At 41.4% G+C, this 19,110-nt stretch overlaps 1 protein-coding gene across 18 annotated transcripts in view; it reads right to left on the reverse strand.

Moving 5' to 3' along the window:
- Positions 1-19,110, reverse strand: part of RALGAPA2 (Ral GTPase activating protein catalytic subunit alpha 2) — a 323,115-nt gene that overhangs the window by 277,821 nt on the left and 26,184 nt on the right. For 17 of the 18 annotated variants that reach the window (XR_007067471.1, XR_937111.3, XR_007067470.1 and 14 more), the window contains exons 2-3: positions 13,341-13,451; positions 8,886-8,938 (exon numbers count right to left, since the gene is read on the reverse strand). The exons of the other annotated variant lie outside the window; for it this stretch is intronic. Coding sequence is in view for 9 of the 17 variants with exons in the window: in XM_005260768.3 (XP_005260825.1) it covers positions 8,886-8,938; positions 13,341-13,451 (164 nt within the window). In the remaining 8 variants the exon portion in view is untranslated. The remainder of the gene's footprint in view (positions 1-8,885; positions 8,939-13,340; positions 13,452-19,110) is intronic. 18 annotated transcript variants of the gene reach the window in all.

Raw genomic sequence — 19,110 nt, forward strand, 5'->3', positions numbered from 1 at the left:
TTCCACTACATCCCTGGATTCACCACTGGTCAAATTATGAATCCCAAACATAACTACACCCAGACTGTGCACATGCTGAGTCCAGCCATCCAATCCAGCATAACACCAAACTGCAGAGAAGGAAGGGAGTCAGTACATATAGGCGTGTAATAAATCGCAAGCAATCAAATTTCAATACCAAAGGAAAAACAAAAGCTAGCATCCACAATATTATTTTTCTTTCTCTGTATGTCCTAGAAGAAACCCACATGTCATCTGCACTTGCTGTGTGGTTCACCTGCTGCAGTTTGCCTCTTCCACCAATGCTTCTCAAATAAGAATCTCCTACCAAAGGACGGGTGAGAAAGAGACATGGTGCATCATCCTGGAGTGCACTGAAACTGTTTTCTTTATCTTGAAGGGGAAACAGATGGAGAAAGGTTGAAGGTGTGGTGGGGAGATGAAGTCCTAAGGAATTTGGCTAGCCTTTATTTAACATTATTTTCATTTTAAAAAATGCATGAAAACAGTAGAATGACATTGTGCATGGCTTTTCAATTCTGTTTGCAGAGGGTCACTTTGGAGCCATGCTTCTCCAACCTGTGGAGGTAAATGCTCATTCCCCTCAGCCAAGGGCACTCTGGTAATAAGAAGAAGCCCAGAGAAACCATTTCAGTAAAATCCTAAACCTTAAGTCAAAGTCCCCTGCATTACAAGGATACAGATGTACAAGATACTAAGGATTTAACCATGTTTAACAATGAAAAGTGGTCTTTCAAACGATGAGATACGGCTCTACTGGAGGACTCTAGAGCCTCCCTGTCCAATACAGTAGCCACTAGCCACATGGATCACCTGAGGCCAGGAGTTTGAGACCAGCCTGACCAATATGGTAAAATCTCATCTCTACTAAGAATACAAAAATTAGCCAGGCATGGTGGCAGGTGCCTGTAGTCCCAGCTACTTGGGAGGCTGAGGCAGGAGAATTGCTTGAACCCATGAGGCGGAGGTTGCAGTGAACCAAGATAGTGCCACTGCACTCCAGCCTGAGCAACAGAGCGAGACTGTGTCTCAAAAAAAGAAAAGAAAAGAAAAGAAAAAAGTAACAAAGGATTGTTAAGTCACGGTTGTTGGCTTTGGAAGAATTTGCTTTTCTTGTTCATTTTATATGTCCTTGTCCCTCTTCCACTCAAAAATATGTACAAAAATGCACATAAAAAACATGGAGTTAGAGTTTTTACACTCTCATTAGGAAACTAAGGCATAGCCACATTAAGGGATAACTATGGATATCCAGCCACAGTCAAATGATAACACAAGGCAGGGCTATTATATGAGTCCAAAGGAAAGAATGAGCACTTCCAGCAGGAGTTGCCAGGAGAAATTGGTGGGTCTAAACAGGTCCTGAGAGAATGGGCCAGATGGGGAGAAGAGCTAAGGGCAGTCCCTGAAAAGAGAACTGAATAAACTAAGAGGCAGAAGTGAAACTATGCAAAGAGAGATAAAGGGGCAGTGTTAGCCCGACAGAGCACTTCCACAGAGTAACCACAAAATATGAAGAAGAGCTACACTGAGAGCCAGGGAGAGGACTGTGAGTGTTAGACCAGCCTGGGCCACACTTTACAGACTATAAAGAACTCATTCAGGTCTCTAGGAAGGCTAATGACAAGATAGAAACAGGGTTTAATATAGTGGGGTAATTTAAATAAAATTTAGAATAAAGAATCTGTTTATCTGTGATTTCAAATCCTGTGATATTTGAAGAACATCCAAATGAGTGGCACTCCAATGCCAGAACATGTTTACGTTTTGAAATTAAGCCTCTTGTGTCGATGTATTTTAATTGGAGTGTGGGAGGGTGAGGAAATATCAAATTCTATAAACTTTCTAAAACATACATGTATAACTCCAAACTATTCTATTTCTCTAGTAAAAGGGGATGGCATACAACATGGCAGAAAGCTTGAAACAGTATCTCTGAATTAACTATATTGTCTTATTCTCTGTATTCTTGATGTGCTGACATCTGGGGCCTCAATGACATAGGAAGGATGCCCCTCCAAGGGTTAGCAAATTCCCAAAGATAGTGGCTCAGAGCATGTTTCTGATATGCAAACCAACCAATCCCAAATCCGTAACCCCAACCACATCCTTTTATGGACTCTATCCCCCTCCCCTCAATCATCCAGGGGCCAGGTGCTGGACAACCAGGAGCTACCCCTACAGCCCTGTCAGCTGAAATTATTCAAACTATCCAGTCCTAAGCCTATGTAGTTTACTTACCTGGCCTTGCCCATTCCTTCCTGCAAAAAAACACAATAAAAGCTCCTGCCCTCAGTTCTGTCTCTGTCGCTCCCTTTCCTCTTTGCGTACTGATTTTGCCTTGGTGCTTCCCTGTTTGGCTCTGTGTGACATGTCTGTTTCTAGAGGCCTGTGAGCATAATTAAAACTTCTTCCTTCATAACAATCATTTTCATGTTTCTGTGCCTTACCACACCTGATTAAAACGAATCTCAGGTACCATTAAAATAACCTGTCAAGCTTGAATCCAGAAGGTTCTCAATGTGAATTATTTGATCTTGAGACCCATTCACCAAGTACCTTGTGTTTCTACACCAACTCTCCTTTCCCTTATGCAGGTAACTAATTCAAGAACCATCACCAAAATATCACTTCTGAAAAGAACCATTCAGGATTTTCTGTGATTCAGAAGGTCATTACTGGAGCTCTGACATGAATTCATTCTTACCAGTAGACTCTTCCGCTCACCACGAAATGGTAATTTATACTCCATGAGGACGGGAGGCTCTGGCTACCTTGCTCATTGTTGTATCTCCAGCACCTACGTGTGTCTGACACAGTGCATACCTAATAAATGTGTCTGATGAATAAATGAATTGTAAAGAATAGTATATGTTGATATAGACAGCCTATGGAATACAGCTTAGAAAGAATACCAACACTCCTAAGTGGTAGGCAGCATGCCAGTAAGTTAGAATAATAGGTTCTAGAGTTAGACTAAAGGTTAAATCCCTACTCTCCCATTTACTAAGTGTGCACCCTTGGGCAAGTCACCTAACCCTACAAAGCCTCCAACATTTCATTCATAAAAACTGGGAAGACCAAACCTACTTCAGAAGGAAAGGATTAAACAGACTAGCCCATGTAAAACATGTAGATTCCGGTTAAGATGGTAAATGTAAATTCATGTTGTGGAGTCCCACATCATCATCCCCACATCTCCATTTGAAAGACAAAGCAATGATGGATGAAATATGGTTTTTAAAGTACAGTAAGAGTCATAACCATAGTAAAAAAAAAAAAAAAAGTATGATAGGCCAGGCATAGTGGCTCATGCCTGTAATCCCAGCACTTTGTGAGGCCGAGGCACATGGATCACCTGAGGTCAGGAGTTCAAGACCAGCCTGGCCAACATGGTGAAACCCTGTCTCTACTAAAAAATATAACAATTAGCCGGGCACGGTGGCAGGCACCTGTAGTCCCAACTACTCAGGAGGCTGAGGCAGGAAGAATTGCTTGAACCCAGAAGGTAGAGGTTGCAGTAAGCCAAGATCAAGCCACTGCACTCCAGCCTGGGCGACAGAGCAAGACTCCGTCTCAAAAAAAAAAAAAAAAAAAAATATGATAAACAACTCCATGAACCAACAGAAACTCTAAGTGGTGTACATATCTGAAGCTACAGGCAAAGGCAGCTGGAGTCAACTTCCAAAAGGTACAAGTGCTCCCACTAGAGAGGAAGGCAGGCAAAAAGGTCTGCTCACTGCCTGAGACCATGACCTGGACTGGCTGGTGGCCTTCACTGCACATCACTTACTTTATCAGAATACTGTAATGTCTCCAATACTCTACATCTAAAAACTACTGTTTCCTTTTCCAAGGTTCCCTTTCAGTGCATCCCTGACTTACAAGGCAGACAGCAGCTCTCTTTACATACTCCTCTTTCATGCCTTCTTATCTCTTACCTCTATGCTTTCTTCCAAGCCATTTCTTATTTATAGAATATCTCTACATGGTATCGCTTTTGTGATTTAACACATCTTATTAATTCCACCTCTTCTCAAGGGAGCCTTTCCTAATTATTTACAAAGTGGTAAGTATTCACTTCCAAACCCTTATAAACTATCTCTTTACAAGCTTTACAGGGCACTATCCTACAAAGCAGCAACGAAGTTACTTAGTACCCAGAATGAAACATACAAATTACAACCTACCTTCTAAAGCCAGAGACAGAGGGAACATAAGCATAAACAAAAGTAATGCAAGTTTATTATTCACTCATATTTACCATGCAAAATGAAAGTTTTATGAAGCCTTGAACAATATATATTTGTTCTATTATACAGGCAACTAATCCTCTGTAAATGGTAATGTATCAGTATTAACACCCTCCCTAGTCTAGAATTTAAGAACATGAAGAGAAAGTATCAAAACTTCTGTGAGAGGGATAGGTCTAGAGTCTCTGAAGGGCTTTCCTGCTGCAGGCCAATGGATCCATGACAACAAATGTAATTCTTAAAACATTGCTGGGCTTTGAAGAACACAGAGAAACTAACAAGGGACTAAAAAATGGTGGGGGAAGAAGGAGGAGCAAAGAGGGAAGAAGAAAGGAGGCAGAAGACAAGTAAGCCAAAACCTGATCTGTAAGCAACATGCAAAAGAAAAAACTGCAGAATGCCAAGGAGCTGATGCCAACACCAGCGCTAGGATTTACAGGTGACTATCCCCTCCAGCCCCCAGTTCCCAGCTATGGTAAGTTTAGGGAACTGAACCTGAATTTCCATTCATAAACCAGAACCCTCAAATGGAGCTAAAGTGCTCTCAATCAAGAGCATTCCCAGACTCCCGGCAAAAGCAAAGACAAATCCTCTGGGAGAAACCAGGATTAACAAATGTGAAATCTGTGGTCATTCAGTACCACTCTCAAAATCAAATATCACAAAATATGCAAAAAAAGAAGCCACTGTGAATGAGAGGCAGCTGAAATAACCAGCATAATTAGACAAACACTTAAGCTACTAGGATTATCATCTACAAAATATGAAATATTACACAGTAAATGTTTAATAAAATAAAAGATGTCTAAAAATGAACGAGGATCAAGAGACAATCGAAAGCAACCAGCCACATAAGAATGCCAAACCAAAAAAGCTGTTAAAAACATGAAAAAAATCATTGAAATGTACAGCTCAATAGATTGGTAAAGTAGCAGATTTGTTCCAAACGAAGGGAGTTAGTGAACTGGAAGAAACAACTGAAGAGACTTCCCAGAATGCAACACAAACAGATTGCGGGAGGAGAAAATAAAAGCAAGCTTAAGAAACAGAGAGGATAGATCAACAAGTTTAAGTAAGAATCCTAGAAAGTATGGCCAGAATGAACAGAAACTTATCAATATTTGAGAAGACAATAGCTAAGAATGTTAGAGAACTATAAAACATATGAATCCAGAGACTTGAGAAACATACATATACCAAGCAAGATAAGAAATCTTCAACTAGATATTTTGTAATTAAACTGTAGAACAACAGACACAAAAGATCTTAAAAGAAGCAGCTGGGTGCAGTAGCTCACGCCTTGTAATCCCAATACTTTGGGAGGCTGAGGTGGGCGGATCACAAGGTCAAGAGATCAAGACCATCCTGGCTAACACGGTGAAAACCCGTCTCTACTAAAAATACAAAAAAATTAGCTGGGTGTGGTGGCGGGCACCTGTAGTCCCAGTTACCTGGGAGGCTGAGGCAGGAGAATGGCATGAACCCGGGAGGCGGAGCTTGCAGTGAGCTGAGATCGCACCACTGAACTCCAGCCTGGGCGACAGAGAAAGACTCCATCTTTAAAAAAATAAAAAATAAAAATAAAAATAAAAATAAAATTTAAAAAAATGAAAAAAAAGAAGCCAGAAAGAAAAGACATTTAAAGGAACAACAATTACACCAAAAACAGAGTTTAAAGCTGCTACAATGGCAACTAGAAGATAGTAAAAATGTGGCACAAACACTACTACTACTACTATTACCAACACCACCACCACTACTACTAGGGTGTGTAATATAAAAACTGCTTGAAGACAATAAAGACCAAGCTAATGGAGATAAAACTGAAGGGATTATGACTCTCCAAAGAGATGCTTCTTTGCCAATACATTTTAAAACTTTGGTGATAAGAACAAATCCTCAGAATTCTTCAAATTCTTAGAAAAATATATAACTTACCAAACTTGAATCAAGAAAAAAAAACCAGAAAATATGAATAATACTAAAACAAGTCTAAAACTATCAAAGAAATTGAATGAGTGGTTAAAATCTTCACATAAGTAAAAAAAGCACCCCAGTTGCAGGTGGTTTTATAGGAAAGGTAAAAAAAACATTTCAATGACAGCTCATTCCAATCTTATAGAACTATGTTATATAACAGAGAAAGAAGAAATGCTTGACAACAGGTTTTATAACCATTACCACAGGACCAGTCAAAAACAACATGAGTATGAGAAAGAAAAACTGAGGCCAACCTCAGCTGTGAACAGAGATCCAAAAATGCAAACAAAATATTAGTCCAGGCTGGGTGCAGTGCCTCATGCCTATAATCCCACAACTTCAGGAGGCCAAGGCAGGAAGATCACTTGAGCCCTGGAGTTTGAGACCAGCCTAGACAACATAGGGAGACCCTATGTCTACAACAAATTAAAAAGAAAAAAAATTAGCTGGGCATCGTGATGCACACGTGTAGTCCCACCTACTCAGGAGGCTGAGGCAGGAGGATCACTTGAGCCCAGGAGGTCAAGGCTACAGTGAGCTATGTTCACACCACTGTACTCCAGCCTGGGCAATACCCTGACTCAAATAATAATAATAATAATAATAATAATAGTAATAGTAATTAGTCCATCCAAAAATCTAGAACTGTAATTCACCATATTAATACTCAAGAAGAATCATTATCATCTCAATCAAGTTTTTTCAAGAAAAAATTTAAAAACTTCAAAACCCATCTATGATTTTTTAAATAAATCTCAAACTAGGAATAGAAACAAAGTTATTTAATTTGATAGAGAATCTACCAAAAAGTTACAGAGAATATTACTCTTAATATTTCACATTAACAAAACTCTCTTTAGATCAAAAACAAGATGACCCTTTATCACTTCCATTTACCAATGTACTGGAAGGCTGACTCAGGGCGGAAAGCAGACCAACTGGCAAGTATGTCCACTCCTTACTCATAGACAATCTGTCTACCAAGAAAACAAAAAACCTGTAGACAAAATGTAGGAATTAAACAAGTCACATATATTTACTTAATCCAGCAGTGGGACTGAATAAACATGAACTAAATTTAAAAACATGGATAAATCTTAGAATTAATGTTGAGGGTAAAAAGCATGTCGAAGGTGATTATGTACCATAGGAGATCATTTCTATTACACTCAAAACAAAACAAAACCACACAAGAAATTATTTAAGGGTACAAATATGTGTGGCAAAGCCATTTTTTAAAAGAAAGAGAATGATAAAATGCAGGGGAGTTACTGTCACAGAGGTGAAAAAGGATGGTGGAAGAGCACCTAAGTAGCTTTTAGTTCCTAAAATGGTGAAGGGGGAGGGTGTCAAGAGTATGTGCTTTATTACCATGCTTCCTAACTTACATATGTTATAGATTCTTTAACCATTACATAAATAATATAATTAAGTTGATAAAATAGTACAAACAAATGATGGTCAGTAGATACATATTTAAGTAACACACTTAATTAAAGCTCCTGTTAAAAACAACTCATTTCACAGGTTTCATTCAAAGGACGGTAAACACAGGAAACATAATAACCACTACAGAATATGTGTATCAACATATGTGTATCAATAGCGAATCAACATCTGTACTCTGGGAAAGGAGTATAGCTCTCAAAGGAGAGAAAGGGGAACCAGGGCTATTGAGCACTAGCCATGAAGCCAAGTCCTGGGCAGGAAGTTTCCCATATCTTGTTTTTTTTCCATAAACTCAGAAAGCCCCTCACCATAAGGCCCTGGAGAACTCTCCTACTGTAGGAGATCTTTCCTACAGTGCTTTGCCCTCCAGCCAGCTCTGCACCTGCTCACATTAGGCCTTTCCTTTACAGCTATAAAAGTTTATCTTCTCACACTAACCTAAGCCTACACCTCTCAAACCACAAATAATTTCTAAAAAACCAACAATTAACTTTCGGAACCTATAATTCAGTTCTGAGTGTGTTCTCCAGGTACCCGTAATCTGGCCACTTATCTAATACATTTGGACAAGAAAGACTTTAAGCTTAATAAGTCAAAAACCACACCCAAACATTGTTTCAACTTTGAAGATATGATCAATGCACACAGATATACAGATGCATAAAGATCATAACCTCACTAGTAGAAAAATATATATCAAAAAAAGTTTTTGCATGTCAGATTTATATATATATGTATTTATATATATGAGACGAATCATCTCTAATGTTAGAGTATAGGAAATTTACATAAGACTTACATATCAGTTTATATAACATTTTTGGGTTTTTAAATTTTTTTATTTTTTACAGGGCAGTTTCTCAGTGTGAATATATGACCTTTTGGAGAGCAATTCAGCAATATCTGCTACTATTTAAGATGTGTGTACTCCTCCATCTAATAATTTCACATCTAGGTACCCATACAGGAAAAACTATCACACATGCTTGCAAAAAAAGAAAATCACGAGAAAATTATTTGTAGCACAGTTTGTAAAAGTGGGAGGGTGGGAGGAAGGAAGGAAAGAAAAAAATATATGTCCACCAACAGCCATTTTTATTTGTCTTCAAATAAAATTAAAGATCAAAAATACTTTATTTCCAACAAGAATTATAAAAGCTAAATAAACTCATCAAAACTTACTTCAAAAAGGAAGAGGATGGAGTCCAGCTCCTCCCTTTGTGACTTATTATTCCCTGGAATATTAAAAAATAATTAGTTATCATGACATCATTTAAACTTCAGGACACTACAAATTATGCTAAAAGGCAGCTTAAAACTAGTAAGCCTCAACATACATTCATTTATTCAAAAAATAGCAAGAGGCAGTATGGAGAACACATTAGGATTGCAAACAGACAACCGAGCCCGACTGCTCAGATCCACATCCAGCAGAGCTGCCCCTTGCTAGCTGTTTGAACACAGCTTCCATGTTTTCCAACTTGTTACCAAACTATGATGGGTAATTTATTCATTTCTCAACTAGTTACTTATTGGCTCAAATTGTGGCAGAATGCACAGCACAAACGAAAAATTTCTAAGTTGGTAATATAAAAAGTCATAGAGCAGATAACTATAAAAGTAGTATATCTTTTGGGGCAACTGCACACTGTCCTATTGATAATAACAACAGTAATAAAACCTACAACACCTGCAGCTGAGGTTACCATTTTCGGTCCTCTCTGTGTACCAAGCATCGTGCTAAGTGCTTGGCGCATATCATTTAATATAGGAATCAACAAACCTCTTCTGTAAAGGGTCAGACAATAAATATTTTAGGCTTTGCAGGCCTCTCTTACAAACACTCAAATCTGCTGTTACAGTACAAAATCAGCCACAGACAATACATAAATAATGGATATGGCTTGTCCAATAAAACGTTATTTATAAAACAGGCAGCTATAAGCTGTGGACCCCTGATCTAACTGAATCCCCACAGCTCAATGAAGTAGATATCATTCATTCATTCATTCATTGAATAAATACTACAGAATGTCTATATGCCAGGGATTATTCTAGGCCCTGAGGATACAGGAGTGAGCAAAACAGACAACAATCCCTGCCCCCAACAATTTAATATTCTGGCAGGAGGGGGCATTCTATAAATGAGTGAGAAAAACAAGAAGGAATGCAGACACAGAAGCCAAAAAAGATGGTATGCAATTTTGACTGGGGAAGTCAGAGAACATCTCTCTGGTAAGGTAACATCTGAGAAAAGATCCTTTGAGGTTAGGAAGCAAGCCATATGGAAATGTGGGGGTTTGGAAGCAAGCCATACGGAAATTTAGGGGAGGTGTATTCCAGGCAGAGGAACTGAACAATGCAAAGTCCGTGTAGCTCAACATGTCTGGCTTAGTCAGAAAACAGTCAGAGGCCCTTAAGGCTGGAGCACACAAGCGGGACAGTTGGAGAAGCTGAGGTTGGAGAGTAGGTGAGGCAAAAGAAGGCAGATTAGGTGGAGCCTGAGACCACTGTAATAACAGGGAATGAGAACCCGTTTGAAACTTTACAGCAGCCAAGAATCATGATTTGACCCATTTTTTTTTTTTTTTTTTTTTTTTTTTTTTTTGAGATGGAGTCTCACTCTGTCACCCAGGCTGGAGTGCAGTGGCGCGATCTCGGCTCACTGCAAGCTCCGCCTCCTGGGTTCACTCCATTCTCCTGCCTCAGCCTCCCAAGTAGCTGGGACTACAGGCGCCTGCCACCACACCCGGCTAATTTTTTTTTGTATTTTTAGTAGAGACAGGGTGTCACCATGTTAACCAGGATGGTCTTGATCTCCTGACCTCGTGATCTGCCCTCCTCGGCCTCCCAAAGTGCTGGGATTACAGGTGTGAGCCACCGCGCCTGACTCATATTTTTAAAGGAGGACTCCAGCTGCTCTTTTGACAAGAAACTATGGGATGGGAGAGGGCACAAGTGTGGAGGTGGGAGACCATTTCTGCAGCTAATGCTATAATCCAGGTGAGGATATCAGGAGTTTCAGTGTTACCAGTGTAGGCAATGAGAACAGGCCGGTGATTCTGGATGTATTTTGAAGATAGAGCCAATAACTCCGGAGTTTTGGCCTGAATAACTGCAAAGGCTCAAGTTATCACAAGATTATTTATTTCATTATTCCTTGTAGGCATTTTCTTTTATTCTTTTTTAAGGTACAGTGTCTTCCCTGCACTCCAATCGAACACAGATTATACTAAAAGCAAAAGACTTCAAAAATCTCACTATTTTTATTGGTTCTTCACTATGATTCTTTGCAGTAGATTGCAAGAATGGCCACAATCAAAGACCACCACAGTGCCTCACCCTGAATTCCTTCCACTCCATGCTTGACAACTGCCTGTTCTACAGGAGCAATCAGGGCATCTGACAAGGGGTCCCTTGATTTTTCCTCTCCACCTCAAAATGTCTCCATATCTACACTATCCCCTTATCTGCTCCTCCTTACATAGAAAGGTCACCTGTACGCTCCTCTCCATGTCTCTTCTTTTTCCTTGACCTGTCTCAACTCACTTCCCCCAACACCTGCACCATTAGTTATCTCCCCCTCCAGCTGACCCACTCCTCAATCTGCAAACAGGCCAATGCATTCCTCAATAACCTTCCCGTGACCAGGGTGAGATACAATCTGTGTCTTCACATCAAACTTTCTGAAAGGATATTCTCATGGGTCACCTTCAACAGCTCACCGCCCTGTGACTCCATGTCCATCTGTTTGGCTTCCGACCTGCTCCTCACCTAGAACCTTTCTCTCCGCACTCACTAACAACCACACTGATGAGCTCTTACTCCCCAGCCCAGCTGCACCTCATGCACCAATAGGCTGACTCTACATGCCTTCAATTCTCTCTCCCCTGGTCCTCTGTGACAAAACCCTTTCCTGGTACCCCTCCTACTACTCCATCGCTTTCCTTTGCATATACCCAATAAAATAAGGAATTATCTAAAAGTTCTGACCATCACTCTCTTTCTCTGTATATACTTTTTCCCTTGGCAATAACACGATTTCACCTCTTTTCTCCCAAGCTCCAGTCACCTATATTGTACTGTCCAGCCAACACCTACACCAAGGTATCCCCCATGCACCTCAAACACAGACTGCCCAAAGCCACTCTCACCCTCCTGCCTTCCAAATCTGGCTCCCCTCCAGGGTTCCTGCGCTAATGGCACCTCACAAAGCAGACTCAGTGTCCTGAAAGCATCTTTGACTTCTCCCTTTCCCTTATAACCAAGTCTCATAGATGGTAGACCCACTGAGACACAACACTTTTCTTTTCCCTTAACTACTGCCTCCCTGGATCAGGCATCACCATCCCTCAGATGAATGACAGCATCAGCCTTCCAATTGGTGTTCTTGCCTCTGGTTCAATCGCTACTTTACAAGATACTTGTGATAGTAACAAACACTTTCAAGAGCTCTAACCACCTCCAGAACAAAGTCCAAACTCCTTAGCCTAGAATTCAAGGCTCCTTGCAAGCATTATCTAATTTCCTGCAAATCTCTTTCACACACCTTTGCTGCAAGAAAAAAAAAATGCATTTCCCATACATGTCGTAAGAACAGCCCTACCTTTACTCATGTTCTCCCCTCCAGCAGCAGTGCCGCTCTCTTCCACCTGAAATCCTGCTGTCCTTCAAGGTCCATTCCCAAGGCCACCTCTTCCCCAAAGCCTCATCTATATACTCAGCAGGAAGTCATCTCTCCCACTTCCCAAGAACCACAGAATTCTGTCTAAATCTCTCTTACAGAACAACTGACTTTTTAACTTTTTTCACAGTTATTTATGCATATGGCTTATTTTTTAAATAAATGAATGACATCTACTTCATAGAGCTGTGGGGATTCAGATTCAGCCCACAGACTACATGAAAATGAAAGAAGATGGTGACAGCAGCTACTACTTACTGACCATGGACTATGTGTCAAACTCTGTCCTAAAATGCTAGGATACCTGTGAACCTGTTTAACGCTGACAGGAGGAAGCCAGCTCAGAGACAGATTAATTTGCCCAAGGAGAAACAGCTAGAAGGGTGGGGCCAGGTTCCCAACCCAGTCTGGCTCCCCAGGCTACACTATCCTACCACTTAGGTGACAGGATGTATAATGTATACAGAACAGAATGTATAATGTGACCTTGTTGGTTTGATTTTCAAAGAATATAGTCACAAACATATATAAACATAATACATTAATAATATATCTGGAAGGAGATGCAGGAAATCTTTAATAGTGGTTGCCTCTGCAAGCAGGGCAAAACAGACACTTGAGTGTTCATTTCAGACCCTTTTATGGAATCTAAATTTTTTTAATAGTATGCATGTATTACTTTTCTTTCTTTTTCAGTAACTTACTCCTTTGAAAATCATGCTTTCTAAGGGTTCCTTCTGCTATTTTTGCTAGCCATGTGTTGTTCAATTAACATCCATATAAGTGAAAGCTCAAGAGAAACAAAGATGCCACCCTGTCCACCATGCTCTCACAGCTTTGCTAAAGGCTTGGCAAGAAAGAAAGCTTAAAAATGTATAATTTGTGGCTCATGATATATACAACTTATAAAAATGCCCGAATGTTTTTTAAAAAAAAACTACTGAAATGCTTACCTTTTAATTTCAAACTATTTTCCAGTGCTATAAAATTTTCATAGAAGATGAAATATATCTGAGAATAGTTGGTCTCAAAAAACTGCTTAAGATCATTTGCATCCACATTATCTGAAAAGAAAAAGTTTCCATTTATGACAATTCACTTTATAAAATCACAAGAATTTAGAAACAAACTTCTCAGAAAAGAAGGCAAGTACAACTAGTTTCATTCCCTTATAAGACAATACAAAACAAAACAGTATTCCTGTTTGTTTATTCTCCACCTAAGAGAGTTCTTACTTGAACCTTGAGTACCACCCACCACTCAGCCCTGCTCAGGAGACCGTGGAGCCAATTCAGGGAGGTCGGAGCTGACAGGAGCCAGCAACAACGGACCAGCTAGAAGGCTGGAGGTAAGCAGGGGCAGGTCTGGGGAGGGACATGACTTCCTGTTACGGGATGAGGAAGTAGAGGTTCATGGAGGAGGCAGTTTTTGACACAGGCCGTGAAGAGGGATGGGTTTGTACCTCTGAAAAACAACTTTGCTGGTGGAGCTCCTAAATGGACCAATCTCTGCTCCCTCCCCACCAACATAACTCTCTGGGCATGAAAAGAGAAACCAGCTCAAGTGAACTAGCACATGCTCCCCAACCACAAGCTTCTAGATGACCTGCCCCCACTCATGTATGGACACTGTAGGATCTACCATGTGTTCCTAGAGTTGCCCCTCTTGTACTAGACAGTTTTGCTAAACCACAGACTGCGGATAGATAGGCGGGGGTGTGGGGAACTTAGCACAGTGACAACTCCCACTGGGGCTGATTAGCAATACAGCCAGTTCTTCCAAGGGCCCCGATCAGCCAGGGTAAAACCTCACAATGCTGGGGGCTCAAAGTAGTTATCCACTGTCAACACACCTTTGTACATTTTCCTCAGTAAACAAGGTTGTTTGTGCCATTTACAGAGTACTGACCAAGGAGTTGGCACTTTGGGAGAATACACTAGCATCTGAGGAAAAGTAAAAACAGCTTTCTGGAGCCAGGCATTGTAGCTCACACCTATAATCCCAGCTACTTGGGAAGCTGAGGCAGGGTAATCGCCCGAACTCAGGAGTTTCCTGAGGCTACAGTGAGCTATGGTTGAGCCACTGCACTTCAGCCTGGGCAAGAGTGAAACCCCTGTCTCTTAAAAACAAAACAAAACAAAGCAAAAAACAAACAAACAAACAATAAAAAGCTTCCTTAAAATTCTGCAAGGATTACTCAAGAAAAAAATGTGTTGCTCTTCAGTCTGTAACAGTGTGGTACCAATTGCTTTTGCAGTCCTAACACTGTGAATCTATGTGAACATACATATTATGATTTTCAAATTATATAACGTTAGCAATAATGCAGATGATTCTGAAGAGTTGTTTTTCTCTGATAATTGTATAAGAGCTTTTCATGCAAAAATGTGCCCTGGCTCTTTGAAATAATGCATGTAAGGTGCTTATAAAGTCTTATGAGCTGCCAATTTCACACTATATTTACTGCACCAAAATAAAACTGGGCACACAGCTGTGAAAATTCCTAGCAAGGAACAAATTTACTGTGTGAAAGCAGGTAGCAATGAAACTAGTATCACCAACCCACATGAATATTAACCTTCCTATGATCTATACAATCTTGACAAGGAATCCTTGAGTGCCTTGTGGAGAATTTGCCAGTTCCAAGGAAGAGTTCAGTACACTTCAACTCTAATGCAAACTGCTAGCCCATCTACCACTAACTGAGCCCTCTTTCTGAAGCCAGCTTCACTCAGCTGGCTCCTACTCACCCTCACTAGTCAGCTAAAACATCCCCATCTTACCCCCAAGACTAGGTCTGCACCTCTGCTGTGTGGCCCCCACTCTATGCTTCCCTGTCACAGAACACATCACACTTTACTTAATTCTGGTGGAATTCTGATTGAATTCCTGACTTAATTCTGATGGAATAATCTGTCTCGTCTATGAGACATATTCCCTGCCCTCACAGAACCCACAGTCTATCTCGTGAATCATTATGTCCCATGCATCTAGCACAATATTTAGTTCAATATTTTCTTGAATTGAGAATCCATGAATTAGCCTACACATACAATGATAAAATAATGACTACAACTTATAAACCTACAGGGAAGAAATAGCCTAACCCTCAATCCTTGGGGCAATCAAAAGACAAATCTCATCTCATCTCTGCTGAGGACTTCTGATTTCCATCTGCAGCCCTGACATCTCCCACTGTGGGCTCTAGTCTCACAGACTGCTGCCAGCTGATTTCTCCACGTGAGGGTCTTAAAGGCCTCTCAAATTAAACACGTCCACAGGGAAGTCCTCCATCAGATCCTGTTCTTCCCTCTGGCTTTTCCGTCCCAGTAAGTTGGAACCTCCATCCACCCCGCTGCTCTGGCCAAAGCCTGGGCATCATTCCTCACTACCCATCCCCAGTATGCCATTCTGTTAGCCTGCCTTTAACACGTACGTGTTCCAGCCCTGGACTGCTTCTGCTCTCCACGGCCCTGCCTGGTCTGTGTGGCCATGAACCCTCACACAGGCTGTGACCTCTGCCCATTGCCTGGGTTCCCTGCTTCCACTCTTCTTCCATTCCCCATAGCGGCCAACTCGAATATTTAATAGAGTCAGTCAAATCAGACCACTCCTCCACTCAAAACCTTCCATCTGCCTCCAGTAGTACTTAAAATCCGAACTCTTTACCATGGCCGGGCAAGGCCCTGCCTGATTTCCCCCACTCAACACGAACTTCACTGCACACCACTCTCCCCTTCACTCCCTATCCTCTAACCACTGTGGATTCTTTCCATTCCCCAAACTTCCCGAACATATTCTTCACTTGGGGCCCCTGCAGGATGCTACCCCCACTCCCAGATCTTCATGCAGCTGGTTCAGTGTATGAGACAAAGTAGCAAATGTAGACACTATGTCTGTTCATCCTGCTTACATAACAGCAGAATTGCACAAAACCCCTTGCCAGCAGAATTTTACAAAGCCCCTGACTCAAAGACTCGGCGCAGCCCTTGAGAAGAATGCCCTGAAGATGATAAGCAGGATACAGCACCGGTTCCCACATCTCCTGCCTGAATCACCACATTTTCAAAAAAGATACACTCGTCTTAGCCCTTGCCTCTTCCTGTATATAAGATAATATCTGACAGGATTAATGACTACGCCTCTATAATCTATAACCAGATGGACCCTCACACCCAAACCTTGGTAAGATTTTGCTCTAATGTAACTTCTGAGCACACTTAATGTAACTTCTGAGCACATGCAGAGTGCGCCACCTGTATATAAACTGTGGGCTAAAGCACTACTTTGGAACAGTCTAACAGACACTCTCTGACTCTCCCTGGTTGCGAACCTCAGCAAGACTTCTGAATAAAACTAACTTTAATTTTTTTAATCAACAGGTCTCCTCTTTCAGAACCTGGGTCACACATGACTTCCTCAAAGAAACCTGCAAGTGCCCCCATGTGTCACTCCACATTTCCTCCTCCCCCCGGCCCTCTCTCTTGGTAGGCTCTGCAGTGAACGTGCCTCAGAATGCCATAAGCTGGCAAACAATTTCTCTAGCATGGAGGAGGTGGGTGTGCTGATGCAGCAAGCTGGCACAGAAAGCTACTGGGAGATCAACAAGTCCCCATCTTTCCCTCCCTTATTCCCTCATTCCCTCAGACACTCAAGTATCAGCAAACCAAACAAAGAGGGTCCTCAGCATGTTTAAGGATCCCTCTTACACACTGAGATGTCCTCATGAGGCCAAAAGTCCAGGTAACAACCACCTTTATCCTCAGCCATCCAATATCTTTCTTGTGGATAAGGCATTGGTGGTGTTGAGCTTAAGTACTCACTAACAAGACAACTAGATACATTCCAGGGAACCCAAAACACAGTGAACCCAGAAGCATAGCATCTACAGCACACTCAGTTTATGTACATGTGTTGAGAACTCCTCAGTGGTCTGGGCACGCTCTTCACACAATTCCCCCTGACAGCACTTCAGAAGAGTTGAAATCATCCCTTTATTAATTTGCTGCCTCGTTGTCTGGCTGCTAGAATGTAAGCGGCATGAAGGCAGAAATCTCATCTGCTTTGTTCACTGTTGCATCCCCAGCCTGAAGAACGGAGCTTGGTACAAGAAAGGTACTTAACACATTTGTTAAATGAATAACCAAATAACAAATATCAGATATTTTATCTTTAATTCAAAATCTAGAATCATTTCTTGATTTGTCTTTTTTTAAAAGACTCATCAGAAGAATATTTATAAAGCAAGCATAGGTCTCAGGGAAGACAATCACAGGCAATGGAATTTAGCAACCTGCGAAAAGAAACACAAGAAAGGATCAAAAGCCTAATTTTTAACAAGGCTAATTTCAAGAAAAACAGAGATATAACAGGAAGGCTTTGCTCAATTAAAAAAAAAAAAAGACAACTATGACCACAAACTTCCTTCAGACAGGCAATCTTGACCCACTCATTCAAACATTTACTAGCCCCTATCCATGTCAACAAGTGCGGTGCTAAGCTTTAAAAAATTCAAAGAGAATAAGACCCGAGGCCCTCAGGGGTGCACAGGTAAACAAACAAGTAACAGAACAGGCACCATGGCTGAAGCCCATGCTGGACACCAAAACAGGGAGTGGACAAGGCCACATGGGGAAGCTAGGAATGCTAATGTCATACATTTATGTCATGTGTTATGCTTTAAAGGAAATGTTCATGAGTTTATTTTATTTGACCCTCACCATAGCCCAATGAAATAGATGGGCAGGTGTGATTAAGAGAAAGAAACCTCAGGGTCAGGATCTCCAGTGACCTGCCCAAGGTAACACAGCCTGTTGGGGACGTCAACAGAACCCCTGCTCTGGTCCTGCGACTCCATAACTGAGTGGTACAAAGGGACAAATGGGAATAAATCAGTCAGGAATATAAAAGAAATAAATCATCACCTTGAGGATGAGCAGGAGAGCCAGAGGAGAAAGAGCAGGAGGAAAAGCCCAAGGTAAGAAACAGGACTGAGTGACACTGAAGAAGCAGCTCCTGGAACTTGCCCCACAGCCTCTCAGGGCTGTAGGGAAAAGGGAGGGAGGGCAAGGCCACGCTCCAGAGTCCAGATGGGAACCCGCCTTTGAAGGGATGGCTTCCAGGGTTTGGCATGGAATGGATGCTAGCACACTGGCTTACTACTATTACAGAACTCAGGGAAGCATGTCCAAATTAACCACAGAGAAGCAAACGGCAGACAGCCTGGCAGAGCTAGAGGTCATTTCTGAATTTTTAAAGAAATCTCCTTTAACTTCTCATTTTCCTGCACCACCAACCAAAGATAATCTTCTACATACCACCCAAAATCACCCTCTTCCACTCCTTTGTCCAGCTAAACCTCTTGTTGATTAAGTATTTCTCCACATCTAGCTGGAAGGCAACAGCAAAGGTTGAGGGCAAAACCTCTGGGGCAGACTGCCTGGATTCAAATGCAGAAGCCACAGGACCTTGGACAAGTTATTTAAACACTCCAATCCTCAATTTCATCTTAAAAATAGGGCTAACAGGCCAGGCATGGTGGCTCACACCTGTAATCCCAGCACTTTGGGAGGCCAAGGCTGGTGGATCACTTGAGGTCAGGAGTTCAAGACCAGCCTGGCCAACATGGTGAAATCCCAACTCTACTAAAAATACAAAAATTAGCTGGGTATGGTGGCACATGTCTGTAATCCCAGCTACTCGGGAGGCTGAGGCAGGAGAATT

This window comes from Homo sapiens, chromosome 20, assembly GCF_000001405.40.
Source record: "Homo sapiens chromosome 20, GRCh38.p14 Primary Assembly".
Taxonomy (NCBI): Eukaryota; Metazoa; Chordata; class Mammalia; order Primates; family Hominidae; genus Homo; species Homo sapiens.